Source organism: Homo sapiens, chromosome 4, assembly GCF_000001405.40.
Source record: "Homo sapiens chromosome 4, GRCh38.p14 Primary Assembly".
Taxonomy (NCBI): domain Eukaryota; kingdom Metazoa; phylum Chordata; class Mammalia; order Primates; family Hominidae; genus Homo; species Homo sapiens.
The window spans coordinates 67,915,223-67,929,842 of record NC_000004.12 but is presented as its reverse complement, the minus strand read 5'-3'; the positions used below and the strand labels follow the sequence as shown (position 1 = coordinate 67,929,842).

Genomic DNA, 14,620 nt, shown 5'->3' with positions numbered 1-14,620 from the left:
ATTAGGTCCATGTTTTGACGAATCTCAAATTTATTTGTCATTATTTCCATTTCAAATAATAGCTAGAATTCAGATGAAAAAATTCAAGTTAAAGATGTGACATTTCAAGGTGTATTAGTCTCTAACGTAAGCATGTCTGAAGTTAGTCATCCAGTGGTTTTCCCGACAGTAATTGATTGGCACTCATCCCAAAATATAGGCAAGCATTTACAACTAACAGAGAGTTAATCCCACCCAGGCACTGCCTCCATGACTAAGCAAGTGAAAATACTAGGGGTTTAGCAATAATTGTTTTTCTGGGTGGGACCTTCCTAAAACACAAATTCATGTGTTGCCATACTTTTATTGATAGTTTCTATATATGGTGATATACAATTTTTGTTAGCTTTTTTTCCTATGGGCATTTGGGAAAATGGCAAGCCAACTTTGAAGTTGTTAGAGTCATTTTACCATTAATGCTTTAAAAATCACAGTCTAGGAAAACATCACTGAAACTATGTGTACATTGTTCCACTTTTCTCTTTTTTTTTGTTCACCCTTAGCCCATTATACCATTATCACTTCCCTCAATTAAGGAGAACAAACCTTTATCAAGGTCTATCTCTATGGCCTTTACCTTAAGTAACTAATTTCTTTTTATATTCCAGTGACGTACGCAAATTCACCTTTATAGAAGTGAAATTCACACAAAAAGAGTTGAGGAATTCAGTAATTAAAAGGAGCTAAGAATCAAATTTAAATCTCTAATTTCTTAAAAGGCTCCAATTAAAAAAGGTTTCTATAGTCAAACACATCTTAAAAATTCTGGCTTTGATACTCGTTTCTTGGAAATTCTTCCTTATAGTGTCATATTAAAAATTCTAAGGCAGCCAGCTAGAGAGAAACTTGTTTACCCTCGTCCGCTAAGCTGTTTGCACAGCATCTTCTTCCAACAGACAAGTATAGATTTCTCCTACAAATTTCAATGGATACCAGACCTAAGTGTTACAGAAGAGATTCAGGGCAAGCGATTTTTATCAGACATGAAACAGGACACTCTGCCCTTGTAAGGGTCTAGCTGACACTTCAAGAGGAAACCAGATAAGGAAGTAAAAAATGTGAGGTAATGGAATGGGCAGATGTTTGCTGATGTGAGAACGAGTCAGCTACTTAGGGAATAAAGCTGAGGACCTCTCCCAGCCAGAAGGGAGGAACCTGACAAGTGCTTAATCCATCTTCTTTGTTAGATGGGGAAGCAAATGAATAGAAGTTGTGAAACAATGGGCATTCTGATAATTTACATGATGCTTTCTGTGTAATTTCCAATAAATAGTTAATTTGTCAGGAATGTAAAAGCCTGAACTATCTGAAACCAGAGTAAAGCATAAATTGTTCATTGGCTGCCTGGTCTTTTTGTTTTTTGTAGGCTCAGCTTCTAAACTTCAGCTTATTTTAATAATTGTACTAAATTAAATGGTAGGATATGCTAATGGAGAACCTGATTTGAGAGTCACCTGAGGCTGGGCATGGTGGCTCAAGCCTATAATTCCAGCACTTTGGGAGGCCGAGGCGGGTGGATCACCTGAGGTCAGGAGTTCAAGACCAGCCTGGCCAATATGGTGAAACCCCGTCTCTTCTAAAAATACAAAATATTAGTCAGGCCTGGTGACGGGCACCTGTAATCCCAGCTACTTGGGAGACTGAGGGGGAAGAATCACTTGAACCCGGGAGGCGGAGGTTGCAGTGAGCCAAGATCGCGCCACTGCACTCAAGCCTGGGCTTGACAGAGCAAGACTCCATCTCCAAAAAAATAAAAAATAAAAGAGTTACCTGACCAATTCTAACTCCACTAAGTCACCACAGGACCACCCAAATAATTGGCTCATGCCTTTGTCTTCATTTTCTCATCTGTAAAATTCCAATGGTAATGTTTGTTCTTCCTGAAATCACAGAGAGATTATAACGATATACAAGGAAATAGAAAACACAATGTGAAATAAAGAGGCTGTTACTAATGAGAAAACTATTATGTTGTGCATATGCTTTGGAAACCTGAAATCATTAATTTGAGTGATTGACTAGTAGCAGAAAGATAGATCCTTGAAAGTTTCAGAATGTTCAATGTAGAAAGAACAGTGTTTGTTAGTGATATGGGAGCCTAGGGGGTGTTGCTTTTCTGGCCAGAAACCTCTGTGGCCAGTGGTTGGTGCCTTTGCCCAAGTTTTGCTCTGGCCCACTGGGCTTGTTCTGCCCACTTGACCTGGCAGACTGTGCCCACCTTCCGCTACCAGCCTGGATCCCATGCCCACCAAGGCCAACCCAGGCATGGAGCTGTGAGGGTTGTCTGAGCGAGCACAGGGTCTGGCCACTGCCCACAGCCAGGCACACTGGCTGCAGCATGACGGGCAGCTCCAGGCACTGGCACAGGTGTGCTGTCTCTCTGTGAGGCTGTGGCTGGACAAAGCTCACTGCAAGCAGCTTCCCTGGCAGGCACCTGGGAATGTGGTGGCACCCAGGAAGCTTGGAGATGCCAGGAACTGCAGGGTCCCAAAGAGGGAGTCACAACCCTGGCTTGGGGAGCTCCCAGGTCTGGGATCCCTAAAGGGCTGCAGCTTTTCTCTCTTTTTACCCACAATGTGGCCAGCAAGGGGTATGTTTCATTCCTGTTTGTGTTACAGCTCTTTCAGTCTTGCTATTTGGCAGGTCCTGAGTTCTTGTCCTGAGACCAAGAAGAATGAGGTATGCAGACAAGTGGAGGGTGAGCAAGACGAAGAAAGGTTTACTGAGCAAGAGAACAGCTCACAGGAGACCCACAGTGGGCAGCTCCTCTTCATAGCCAGGGTGTCCCAACAAGTGTCCAGCTCCTAGCAAAGAGGAGGCCCTGGAGGTAGAAGCTCCTCTCTGCAGGCAGGTTGTCCTGTTGAGTGTTCAGCTTTCAGCACACAGTAGGCAGTAGGCCCTAGAGTGGTCTATCTCCTCTCTGCAGGCAGGTAGTCCCATGGTCTCCCAGTCACCTCTCCATCTGCAAGGGTCCAATGCTGCCTCCAGCACCTCTCTGCCCACCCCTCCGTGCCTGACCAAGCTGCTCCCCCACCAGTGGGCAACTCAGCCCAGCCCCATTGTGGTAGCTCCCAGGGTGGCAGGCTCTGGGGGGCTCCCAGGGATGGGCTCCAAGGACTGTCCACCTTCTCCCCACGCCCTCCCTGCAGTGGCCATGGTCAAGAATGGCAATGTGGGGCCAGGTTCCGGAGCAGGAGAGGCTCCAGGCCTGGGAGCAGGTCCTGCCTGGTCACGTGAGGTTGGGGGTGGCACAGTCGGCTGCCTCAGGGATGTGGGACACAGGGGACCCACCACCATCACTGCTACTCCCGCATCCGCTCCTGCTACCACTGCTCCAGACAGCCTGTAGCTGCCATCACTAGCACTTAAGAAAGGCACATTCAGTGGACAGCTCAGGAAAATCTTTACGTCAATTTTTTATAGGCAAAAACATTGTTTCCTGGGCAAACAAAATTTATGGACTACCAATAAATAGAAAACTGTAGAGATTCTAGATTAAGTCTAGAAATAATCCTGTAGCCCAAGATTTATTTATAATTTGTCAAGAATCTGTATTTTGTTTTGACAAAAAAAAACTGTGTGGTGTGGGTCCTTCAGGAGACACAGTGTGACAAAGCAAAGCTAAAATCAACTTCTTTGCATTGCAAACACCAAGGCTGTAGTCAAGCAGCTCACTGCCTATGTGTCAGATGACTTTGCTTCATTTTTCATCATGATACTTGTAGTCTATAGAGCCCTGAATATTAACTAGCTTTCTCCCAACTCAGAACCGTGTTAGGAGGTGGTTGCTTTCAAAACTAAAGTGTTAATGTTTATTTCCATTTCTATACCAGGAAAGTAAAAATCTTTGGTCAAAATTAGAAATCTTTAACAACTAGTTACTTGTGTATTGACAGTTTGTTTCCAGGTGTAATCATTCTCCCTTAAAATCCGGTTATATTCACGACCATTATACTTATCCTGGTATCATTCCTGGAAATGGCTAACTTGCATCCTGCTCAGACTAAGTTGACAAAGTTTCAATTGAAGAATTCTAACTTTATGCTATTTTCCACTTTATTGCATTACAAAGGACAAAATATATAGTTTTCTTAAAAATGAAATAAATTTACTGCCTTAAACTACATTTGACGGTAAACTGAGTTCCTTCCATAGAATAACCACTAACAGCAATCGATGGTCCTGAGCAATTGACTCTTCACCATACAATGATTTGGGATGCCTTTAAGGGTATATTTGAATTGAATATTTTCAAAAGCTCCCACTTTGTAGAGTTTATCATCACTAGTTTCCCCAGTGGAATTTGTAGAAAGTTAGTAGAATGAAACAATCTTATTTTGTATAATGAGGAATAGAATACTGAGAATGTGTCTGAGAAACATGGCACTGGTAGGAAAAAGTAAACAGTTTATTCTCATCTGCTCAATAAGCTAAGTCATTTTAACTTGAAAATCATCAAAATTTTCATGAAACCTTCCACCAACTTTATTTTTCCCCAGCTTTAGTAAGATATAATTGACAAATAAAAATTGTATACTGTATACAACATGATGCTTTGATACATGTATACAAGTTTAAATATTTGTGTTTCCTTAGTCAAACTCCTCACTTTTTTGGAAGTTGACAGAATTTAATCTTGGATTGTGTCCAATAACTAGCTTTTACCACTATTCAGTATATTTTGGATAAGAAACACATAACAGTTTATTCTTTAAAAAAGCAATTTTACTATTTAGGAACTGTGTTTAAAAAGCATTTTAAATATCATTTATGCAAGAGTTTTCAAGGTTTTTTCATTCTAAACCCTTTAACCAAAAAAAAAAAAAAAAAGATTTATGTGAAATTCGAAGTAAATAGAAGAGATCAAAGCAGATCTGTTCTGGCTGAGGCTGAGTTTGAGACCTGTAAGACAGTCTACTTGCCATATGGCTTGGCTGTGTCCCCACCCAAATCTCATCTCGAATTGTAGCCCCCATAATTCCCACATGTTGTGAGAGGGACCTGGTGGGAGATAAATTAAATCATGGGTGCAGTTTCCCCCATACTGTTCTATGGTAGTGAATGAGATCTGATGGTTTTATAAGAGGCTTCCCCTTTCACTTGGCTCACATTCTCTGACTTGCTTGCCACCATGTAAGACATGCCTTTTGCCTTCCTCCATGATTGTGAGGCCTCCCCAGCCACATGGAACTCTGAGTCCATTAAACCTCTTTTTCTTTATAAATTACCCAGTCTCAGATATGTCTTTATCAGCAGTGTGAAAACAAACTAATATAACCTGTTTCCTCTGTCCCATTTATCCATCTTCTGAAGTGGAATGCAAAGAAGCTTTACCCCGAACTGCTGGAAAACCATAGTTCTCTATTAATACAAACTATTTGTGGGCTTTAGTCATCCACTATTTGTGCCTTACTCACCCATTGCTTGTGATAGTATCCACCTAATTAGAGGCTGCCTATAAGTCTCTACAAAAACTGTACACAGATGTTGTTATATCAGATAGCCATTCTCCTAATTAATCTATATGTTCAACTGTCTAGAATCCATATATGGTCAGTATCCTCTGATTATTCCTGGTCATTGAGACCAACCAGGAAAATATCAAATTATCACTATTTGTTTTATCTTCTTTTTCAGCAATGAGCTCATCAACAGGGGAGTTAACTGTCCAAGCAAGTAAGTCAAGTTAGCTTATATAAACAAGTTCAATTTTCACATCAGAAAGGACATTTTCAAATATTTGCTCATACTTGCCCATCTGTCCTCCAGATTTTCTTTGAGAGATAATAACTATTTGTACGATAGATTTAAATACATTTTTTTTCTAACTCATGGACTGATCTTTTAGTCATGTTCAAGAAAAAAATTGCCATGGTAACCTTCTGGGGCAATTTGAAGAAAGCATTTATTTTTGATTGGGAATATTGGACTTGTTTTTCTAATTTTTAAAAATGCCATAAAATGTACTTTCTGCTACAAAATAAAATAATAAGAAAGTAATCAATAGGAAGGACATAAAACCCATTGTCTGTGACTGACAATTTGTCTGTGAAATATGCTAAGGTCAGGAGTTCGAGACCAGCCTGACCAACATGGAGAAGAAAACCCATCTCTATTAAAAATACAAAAATTAGCCAGGTGCGGTGGCAGGTGCCTGTAGTCCCAGCTACTTGGGAGGCTGAGGCAGGAGAATCACTTGAACCTGGGAGGCAGAGGTTGCAGTGAGCCAAGATTGCACCACTGCACTCCAGCCTCAGCGACAGAGTGAGACTCCATCTCAAAAAAGAAGAAAAAAATATGCTTAATAGATTCATCTTAATCGCTAACAGTGGCTTCATTAAATCACTTCAAATCACTGTGGCCTAAATTTTGAAAGATTTTACAAAAAACAGTGATGAATTTGAGCAATGATGTTCATGCATTTGCCTCTGTGACTTGCAAACACCCTAAGTATTTTTATCCATGTGTTTATTCATTCAACAATATCTTTTAACATCTACCAAGTGCCAGAAATTAGACCAGGAGTTGGTGGTACCATTGTGAATAAAACATGATCCCTGCTCTAAAATTAGAATTCCAAAGTAGAGAAAGATATAAATAAATCAGGAAGTATGAAAATAATGTGATTAATGCTATGACAGAGGAAGTGCATAGTGCTATGAGAGTTGATCAGAGAGTCAGCTAACCTGTTCTCACACAGTAAGAAAGTGAACCCTGAAATGTGAGAGAGAAGAGGCCATGAATCCAGTGACAGGTGGGGTAAGTGTCCTGGGCAGGAGGAGTAGTATACGAAAATGTCTTCAGGCAAGTAAGAATGGGGTCATTTCCTGTAATTACAAGATGTTTCTTATAACTTAATGATCTCATCTTTTTTCAGGTTGTGGTAAACGAGTTGTTCCATTAAACGTCAACAGAATAGCATCTGGAGTCATTGCACCCAAGGCGGCCTGGCCTTGGCAAGCTTCCCTTCAGTATGATAACATCCATCAGTGTGGGGCCACCTTGATTAGTAACACATGGCTTGTCACTGCAGCACACTGCTTCCAGAAGTAAGTTATTGACCTTAAGTTAGAACCCACTTCTGCTAAAAAGCCCTGAGTTTTGTCATATTCTTGGTAACAATTAATGTCTCAAATATTACTGAAGTAAAATAAGAAAAAGTTATTTCAGGTTCTTTTCTAAAATAATGTTACACTTGCATACTTAATCAGAAATTTGATGGGAATAAGTAACAGTCATTATCCTAGTATCCATCAATCATTTCCTCAAAGTTTTTAATAAGGAAACTGTGTAAAGAAATCAGAACTATTTTGTGACATCCTAACACAAAATATTCACTAATAACATGTACCATTAATCTTTTGTCAAACAATGCTCTCCACTTAAAACTAGTGTCTGTTTCTGCCAAACACTTGGGCCAGTCTCATACTGATCTTAAATAATCAAACTAATTCCAAAGTAAAATGGAAATTTTCAATAAATGCCGGAAGTTGGTAACCGTGATGATGGAGAACTGCAGATCAAATTTAGAGCATTGACATATGAAGATCTGTGGAATCAGAACAGTTTACAACCAAAATGAGAGATTGCTAGCATGATAAAGACAGGCACTTCAAAAGAGATTCCTCGGAGTATCAAAGGATTCATAGAGGCCCTTGGGCCACTCAATGTGACCTTCCCATAATAGAGCATCTCTTCACAATAGTGACACAAAAGACAAAGCTGAAGTGAAGAATAGCAAATTGTGCTATCCTATAATTGTTTCTGAATGCATACATTTTATTAAATATATGATTAAATGACTTTTTATAACTTTTAATCTTACTTTTCAAGATAATAACCAGTCATTTTTATCACTATTACATTTAGAATTTTAGATTTGTTTCTAAGTAGATTAACTGTATCGCCTTTCTTCTTCATTGCCAATTATTACAGTAATAACAAAGACTTCTTGAGTATCTCTATATAATAGGTGGCAGCAGGATTTAGTGGGAAAAATATGTCCCAGGCAGTTGGAGAGCTGGGCAAATTATTGAACCTTAGTGTATTAGGTAATAGATAGGCTAGATCTTTTCACATTCTTTTTGACCTATAAAATTCTAACTTTTGTTACTATAATAAATTTCATTTGCCTAGGAGCATAAATCTTTATAGAGACTCTTAATATTCCAAAGAATATACATATTAAGAATCTAGGCTTGGCATGGTGGCTCATGCCTGTAATCCCAGCATTTTGGGAGGCCGAGGCAAGAGGACCACTTGAGCTCAGGAGTTCAAGACCAGCTTGGGCAAGATAGTGAAACCCCATTGGGCATGGTGGTGCCTACCTATCATCCCAGCTACTTGGGAGGCTAACGCAGGAGGATCCCTTAAGCCCAGGAGTTTGAGGCTCCTGCAAGCTATGATTGCACCACTGCACTCCAGCCTGAGTGACAATGCAAGACCCCATCTTAAAAAAATAGTAATATATTTTTAAAAATAATCTACATAAATTCTTAATGTTTGAAAGATGTGAGAGCTCAGTAAGCTGATATATTAGAAAGCCAGAAATCCCTTATGCTGGTGTCTGGTTTTTCAAAGTAATGGGAAACTTACTTTGCCAAAGTTAGCCATTTTTGTGGTAGATAGTTCTATTTTTGCAAATATCTTTATAGCATTGAACACCAAATCTATACTCTATTAACTTCTACCATCAATATTTGTTTTTCTTTTAATCTGGAACAACAGGAACCAATTTTATTTCTTCATTCATATAACAGCTATTCTTTAGTTTCTCTTTTTCAGACCAAACATAAAATGAGGGAGAATATCCAAACCATAAGTGAAAATAAATATCATTACTGTGAGCTTTAGTTTGCTAAGGATAATGACCTCCAGCCCTATCCATGTCCCTGCAAAGGGCATGATTTTGTTCTTTTTATGGCTGCATAGCATTCCATGGTGTATGTATACCACATTTTCTTTATCCAGTCTATCACTAATGGGCATTTAGGTTGATTCTATGTCTTTGCTATACCGAAGAGTGCTAGAGGGAGAGGATCAGGAAAAATAACTAATGGGTACTAGGCTTAATACCTGGGTGATGAAATAATATGTACAACAAAACCCCATGACACAAGTTTACCTGTGTAACAAACCTGCACATGTAACCCTGAACTTTGAAAAAAGTATATATATGCACACACATATATATGCATACATATATATGTGTGTATATATATGCATATATGTGTGTGTGTATATATAAAAAAAAATATATATATATATATATATATAATTACCTCATTTTTCCAGAACCAACTTCCAGATGCCCTACCACATTGGTTCTTATTCTCTGAACATTCGAGACTTTGTCAGTGTCTTCCTTAAAATATGCTTCCAATAACTAAATACACCAAGACAGATGTGTGACTAGTGTCACACATAACAAAATAAAGCAGGAAGTCTTCTGAAAAATACAAATAATGTAAATTGGTGGGAGACAGTGTTTTATAAAGGGAAGAGCAGAGAGAGGCAGGCAGATATGTGATGTGAATCAAATAGTTTAACCTATCCAGGCTTTATTTTCCTTAAGTATAAAACACAGTCTTTACTAGATGATCTTTCATTGCTACTAAATGATTTTTCCGATTCCTGTATGTACCATAATCCACCCATTGCCCAAGCCCACAAGCTAGAAGTCAACCGCATTTACCACATTTGATCATCTCTCAAAGGACTATGCAGTCATCTAATAGACTTTACCACATCCATTCTTGACCTTCAAGAATCTACTCCCCAGAAAGAACCAACATGTTTTTTAAAAATGTAAATGAGACTACATTATTCTCTGGCTTAATTATCCAGTAGATTCCCATATCACTTCAATAAAATTTAAGCACTTTATCATGACCTATAAAACACTCTAAAATCTAGTCCCTGCTTACCTCTCCAAGCTCACCCCCAACCATTCTTTCCCTTGTGTTCTGACTGCAGCCCATCCAACCCAAGACCTTGGGATTTTTGCCTGGAAACTTGTTTCCCTCATCTCCTCACACTGACCCTCTTTTACTATGTCTTAGCCCAAATGCGTTATCAAAATAATCATAATGACCTGTTAGTACTCTATTCCGTTACCCTATTTTATTTTGTTCATAGCCTTTATCAATGTTTAAGATTATTTATCTATTTGTTTGCTTGCTTTGATCCTTTTCCTTCTCTGGAATCTTATACTCCTGTGAGCAGGCACCTTAGGTCCTGTTCATCACTTTATCCCCAGCAGTTCAGATAAGGCTCAGCACACAGATGCTCAGTAAATATTTGTGGAAGGGATAAATGAATGATATTTTATGTGTATTACAGTTCTAAAATTCAATAGTTTTGTATTAAATATCAGTTCTAATATGGCATTTATATGATTTTATCTTTCAAAACATTAGCAATAGATTATATTTAAATGATAAAAGAAAACTATAACTGCAGCCAAGTATTCTCAGGATTGTATTTCTCTTATATTAGCCTAAATGCAATTAATCTAGCTCATATACTTTGGGCAGCTTATATATATTCTGTTAATTTCTAACCTTTTCCAGGTATAAAAATCCACATCAATGGACTGTTAGTTTTGGAACAAAAATCAACCCTCCCTTAATGAAAAGAAATGTCAGAAGATTTATTATCCATGAGAAGTACCGCTCTGCAGCAAGAGAGTACGACATTGCTGTTGTGCAGGTCTCTTCCAGAGTCACCTTTTCGGATGACATACGCCAGATTTGTTTGCCAGAAGCCTCTGCATCCTTCCAACCAAATTTGACTGTCCACATCACAGGATTTGGAGCACTTTACTATGGTGGTGGGTATCTCAGGATAGCTAACAGAGCGCTAAGCCCTGTCTAAGGCAATGTGATTTCATCTCCATCAATATTATCCTGACAGCCATTTCCACACAGTCTGGTTGGATTAGTTAGGGTTCTTACTTTGTGTGACAGAAATTCAATTCACATTAACCAGTGCAGAATAAAAAACAAAGAAACAAAAACTTCCACAAATTTGGCTCATGTAATTTGGAAGTCAAAAAAGTGTAGTAAGTTTCACTTCAGACACAGGGGTTTATATGATGTCATCTGGCTCTGTGTCTCTGAATTTGAATTTTTTGCCCCTTCTTTTCTCTATATTGTCTTCATTCAGAGGGATGCTAGCTTCACCTAGTGTCAGAGGTGGCTAACAACACCTCAACACATCATCCTCAACAAAGAAAAAATACATAGAAAGGAATATTTATTTCTTTTCTTTGCCAGAATTCACATTAATTTCTATTGTTCCAGCTGTGTCTAGGAGGACTCAGATTGAGTGGCTAACTCAAATATTCTTTATGCCTATGTAGCAAAATTTGCTTCAGTACTGAAGAAGCTAATTTAAGTGTGATGGTGAATAAGAATAGTGTAGAGATAAATTGTCAAACTATTTGTCCCCTCTAAAAGTATTCAACTTGATATACTAACTTAGTCTTGTAAGAAATAATGATGATTTAGTTACTGAATGTTCTAGGCAATCTTAGTGAGACACGCTCTGGATTCTACCATGTGGTCCAGGTACATATGTATAACAAAAGCTAGAGAGTTTCTTTAACACTGGGCTTGAGAAAATGCAAAAGGGCTTTCTGAGAATGACTAAATCTATTTGCAGGATTCTATACAATTTATTTACATACAAGAAATTATAAAGAATAAGCTTTTGATTCTCAGTCTACCATTAAGGAACTAGGAATAACCTTTCACTCACATAGGCAGGAATCGGTTTTAGGGTCTCTAGATTTTTTCCAGATGTCCCATGTGGTTTTGTTTTATCTTATACAGAGTGAGACATGCATTGCTTTCTTTAAGGTTGTATTACCAATCACAGAAAATATTACCTATGGTTTATTAATTCTAGTAGATCTAGTGCTGCTGTAAGCCTGACACCTCCCTAGGTCTGCACTCTCTTGGATGGATTTTCTCTGAAGATAGGGCTTGCATTCTCTGCTTCATAGTGGTGGGAAAGACATCACAAATCCCCTTTGGCTTGGTGGGAAAAATCACTTTCAGGAGTTTGAGACTGGCACAGAAACATACCTGTCATAATGCGCTGTGAGTGGCAACAGAATCTGACACTTATAGAGCACTCCACCCTACTTGAACACGGCCTCTCTTGGTGAGTGACCCACAGGTGCTTTTAATCTATTAAATAGATTAAATTAACCTATCATTCTTAATCTGTTAAGTACATTAATAGATTAAAAGCAGCCATTCGTTACTCACCAAGAGAGGCTATATTCAAGTCTGTAAAGCAAACCTTAAGAAGTTTTTTAAAATTGAAATTGTACAAAGTATATTCTCTGATCATAATGGAATCTAACTAGACATCAGTAACAGAAAGATAACATAAAAATCCCCAAATGCTTACCAATTAAAAAACATATGTAAATAAAGAGAATATCTCGAAGAAATTTGTAAAAACAAATAGAACTAAATGAAAACAAAAATATATAAATATATGCCAGATGCTGCTAAAATAGTGTAGAAAGGGAAATTTATAGAAAATGCATATTATAAGGAAAGATATCAAATCAATAATTAAGTTCTCACTTCAAGAAACTAGAAAAATAAAAAATAAACCTAAAACAAACATAAGGAAGGAAATAATAAGAATAAGAATAGAAATGAATAAAATTAAAAATAAACTATAGAAAATTGATAAATAAAAAGCTGATTATTTGATAAAATCAATATTTTGCTAGAAATGTCATTAAGCATTTTTACAGAAGATGAGATATAGCTCAGGGATGTCCAGAATTTATGGGCTATGCTTTTCATGACTTGGAATACATTTTACCAACCAGTTTAGTTTGCTGAAGAAGTTGTGGATTTGCACTGTCACCTACTTACAATACTTAGATTGTCAGTTTCACCTTACTCTTCTCACCATTATTTTATTTTTATTTTTATTTTTATTTTTATTTTGAAACAGAGTCTCGCTCTGTCTCCCAGGCTGGAGTGCAGTGGCGTGATCTCGGCTCACTGCAAACTCCGCCTCCCGGGTTCACGCCATTCTCCTGCCTCAGCCTCCCGAGTAGCTGGGACTGCAGGCGCCCACCACCATGCCCGGCTAATTGTTTTGTAGTTTTAGTAAAGAAGGGGTTTCACCGTGTTAGCCAGGATGGTTTTGATCTCCTGACCTCGTGATCCACCTGCCTCGGCCTCCCAAAGTGCTGGGATTACAGGCGTGAGCCACCGCGCGCCAGGCCATGAATGTTTTTAATTGATGATATAGTAGGCAATATAAATGTGTGTGTGTGTGTGTGTGTGTGTGTGTGTATAATATATATAAACCAATTGTATTCAAATAACAGAATAATTTGAAAAATCTCTTAGCATATTTCTGAGTTACACACTTAAATCTTCCGAGCACTTTTAAATATGTGTTTACAAACATTTCTTCAGAAATAAATCTTGGAAATCGTCTTCTAAAGAAACTGGTGTATTAGGGTTTTTTCAAATGTACTTAGTTTTTTTTTTAATTGATGTATAAAATTGCATGTACTTACCATGTGCAACATAATGTGTTGAAGTATAGTATATGTACACTGTGAGTGTTAAATCTAGTTAACTAAGAAGCGTCTTATTTTACATAATTATCATTTTTGTGGCAAGAACACTTAATATCTACTCTTGTAGCGTTTCTCAAGAATACGATATATCAACAGTAGGCAACCAGAAGCTGGGGGTCTTTACAGGGGAAGGAGTTAGGGAGATGCTGGTCAACAAATTCATATTTGCAGTTAGGAAGAAAAAGTTCAAGAGATCTCTCATCCATCATGGTGACTATAGCTGATGATATATCGTATTCTTGTATTAGTTTTTTATAAATGTGTAACAAATAATCACAAACAGTTAAAACAGCACTCATTTATTTTTATCTCACTGTTTTCATGAGTCAGACGTTCAGACACAGCTTAGTTGAGTCCTCTTCTCAGGGTCTCACCAAACTGTAATCAAGGTGTCAGCTGGGGTTGTGGCCACATCTGTGGCTCCTTTGAAGGTCTCCTCAAGGTTTGCTGGCAGAATTCCTTTACTCGCAGCTGTAGAATGCATGCCAGCTTGCTGCTTTAACTCTTTAGGAAAGTGTCTCAACTCCAGCAAGGCTCGCCCTTTTTGAAATGGCTCAGCTGATTAGGTCAGGCCCACCTTTGATAATCTCCTTTTGATGAATTCAAAGTCAAACTCATTAGAGGTCTTAATCGCATCTGTAAAATTCCCTCATCTTGGCCATATAACATAACCTAATCATGAGAATGGCATCCCTCATATTCACAGATCCTGCCCATATTTGGGAGGAGGGGAATCACACAGGAATCTTGGGGACTATCCTAGAATTCTGCCAACCATGGGGTCATGGTTTCCCAATCAATATATGGTTTGGTATAAAGAATCCCTGAATGCTTGTGCTATTCTTAGTTTTCTACGTAGCCTGCCATAATAATGGTTTCTAAAACTCAGAACCTAGCTTACAGTCTGCAGCCACCAACTTGTAATACATTGGAAGTGAAATCATTGCCGTTTAATGC

At 38.2% G+C, this 14,620-nt stretch overlaps 1 protein-coding gene across 2 annotated transcripts in view, besides 2 other annotated features; it reads left to right on the top strand.

The window, feature by feature from the left end:
* Positions 1–14,620, top strand: part of TMPRSS11A (transmembrane serine protease 11A) — a 54,099-nt gene that overhangs the window by 33,651 nt on the left and 5,828 nt on the right. For both annotated transcript variants that reach the window (NM_001114387.2, NM_182606.4), the window contains exons 6-8: positions 5,677–5,715; positions 6,917–7,088; positions 10,611–10,870. In NM_001114387.2, the coding sequence (NP_001107859.1) occupies positions 5,677–5,715; positions 6,917–7,088; positions 10,611–10,870 (471 nt within the window). The remainder of the gene's footprint in view (positions 1–5,676; positions 5,716–6,916; positions 7,089–10,610; positions 10,871–14,620) is intronic.
* Positions 1,860–2,360: an enhancer, noted in NCBI's record as "H3K4me1 hESC enhancer chr4:68793201-68793701 (GRCh37/hg19 assembly coordinates)". NCBI's record gives its function as "activates a minimal SCP1, AML or CMV promoter by ChIP-STARR-seq in naive and primed H9 embryonic stem cells {active_cell/tissue: H9 hESC(naive and primed)}" and the evidence as "EXISTENCE:reporter gene assay evidence [ECO:0000049][PMID:30033119]".
* Positions 2,361–2,861: an enhancer, noted in NCBI's record as "H3K4me1 hESC enhancer chr4:68792700-68793200 (GRCh37/hg19 assembly coordinates)". NCBI's record gives its function as "activates a minimal SCP1, AML or CMV promoter by ChIP-STARR-seq in primed H9 embryonic stem cells {active_cell/tissue: H9 hESC(primed)}" and the evidence as "EXISTENCE:reporter gene assay evidence [ECO:0000049][PMID:30033119]".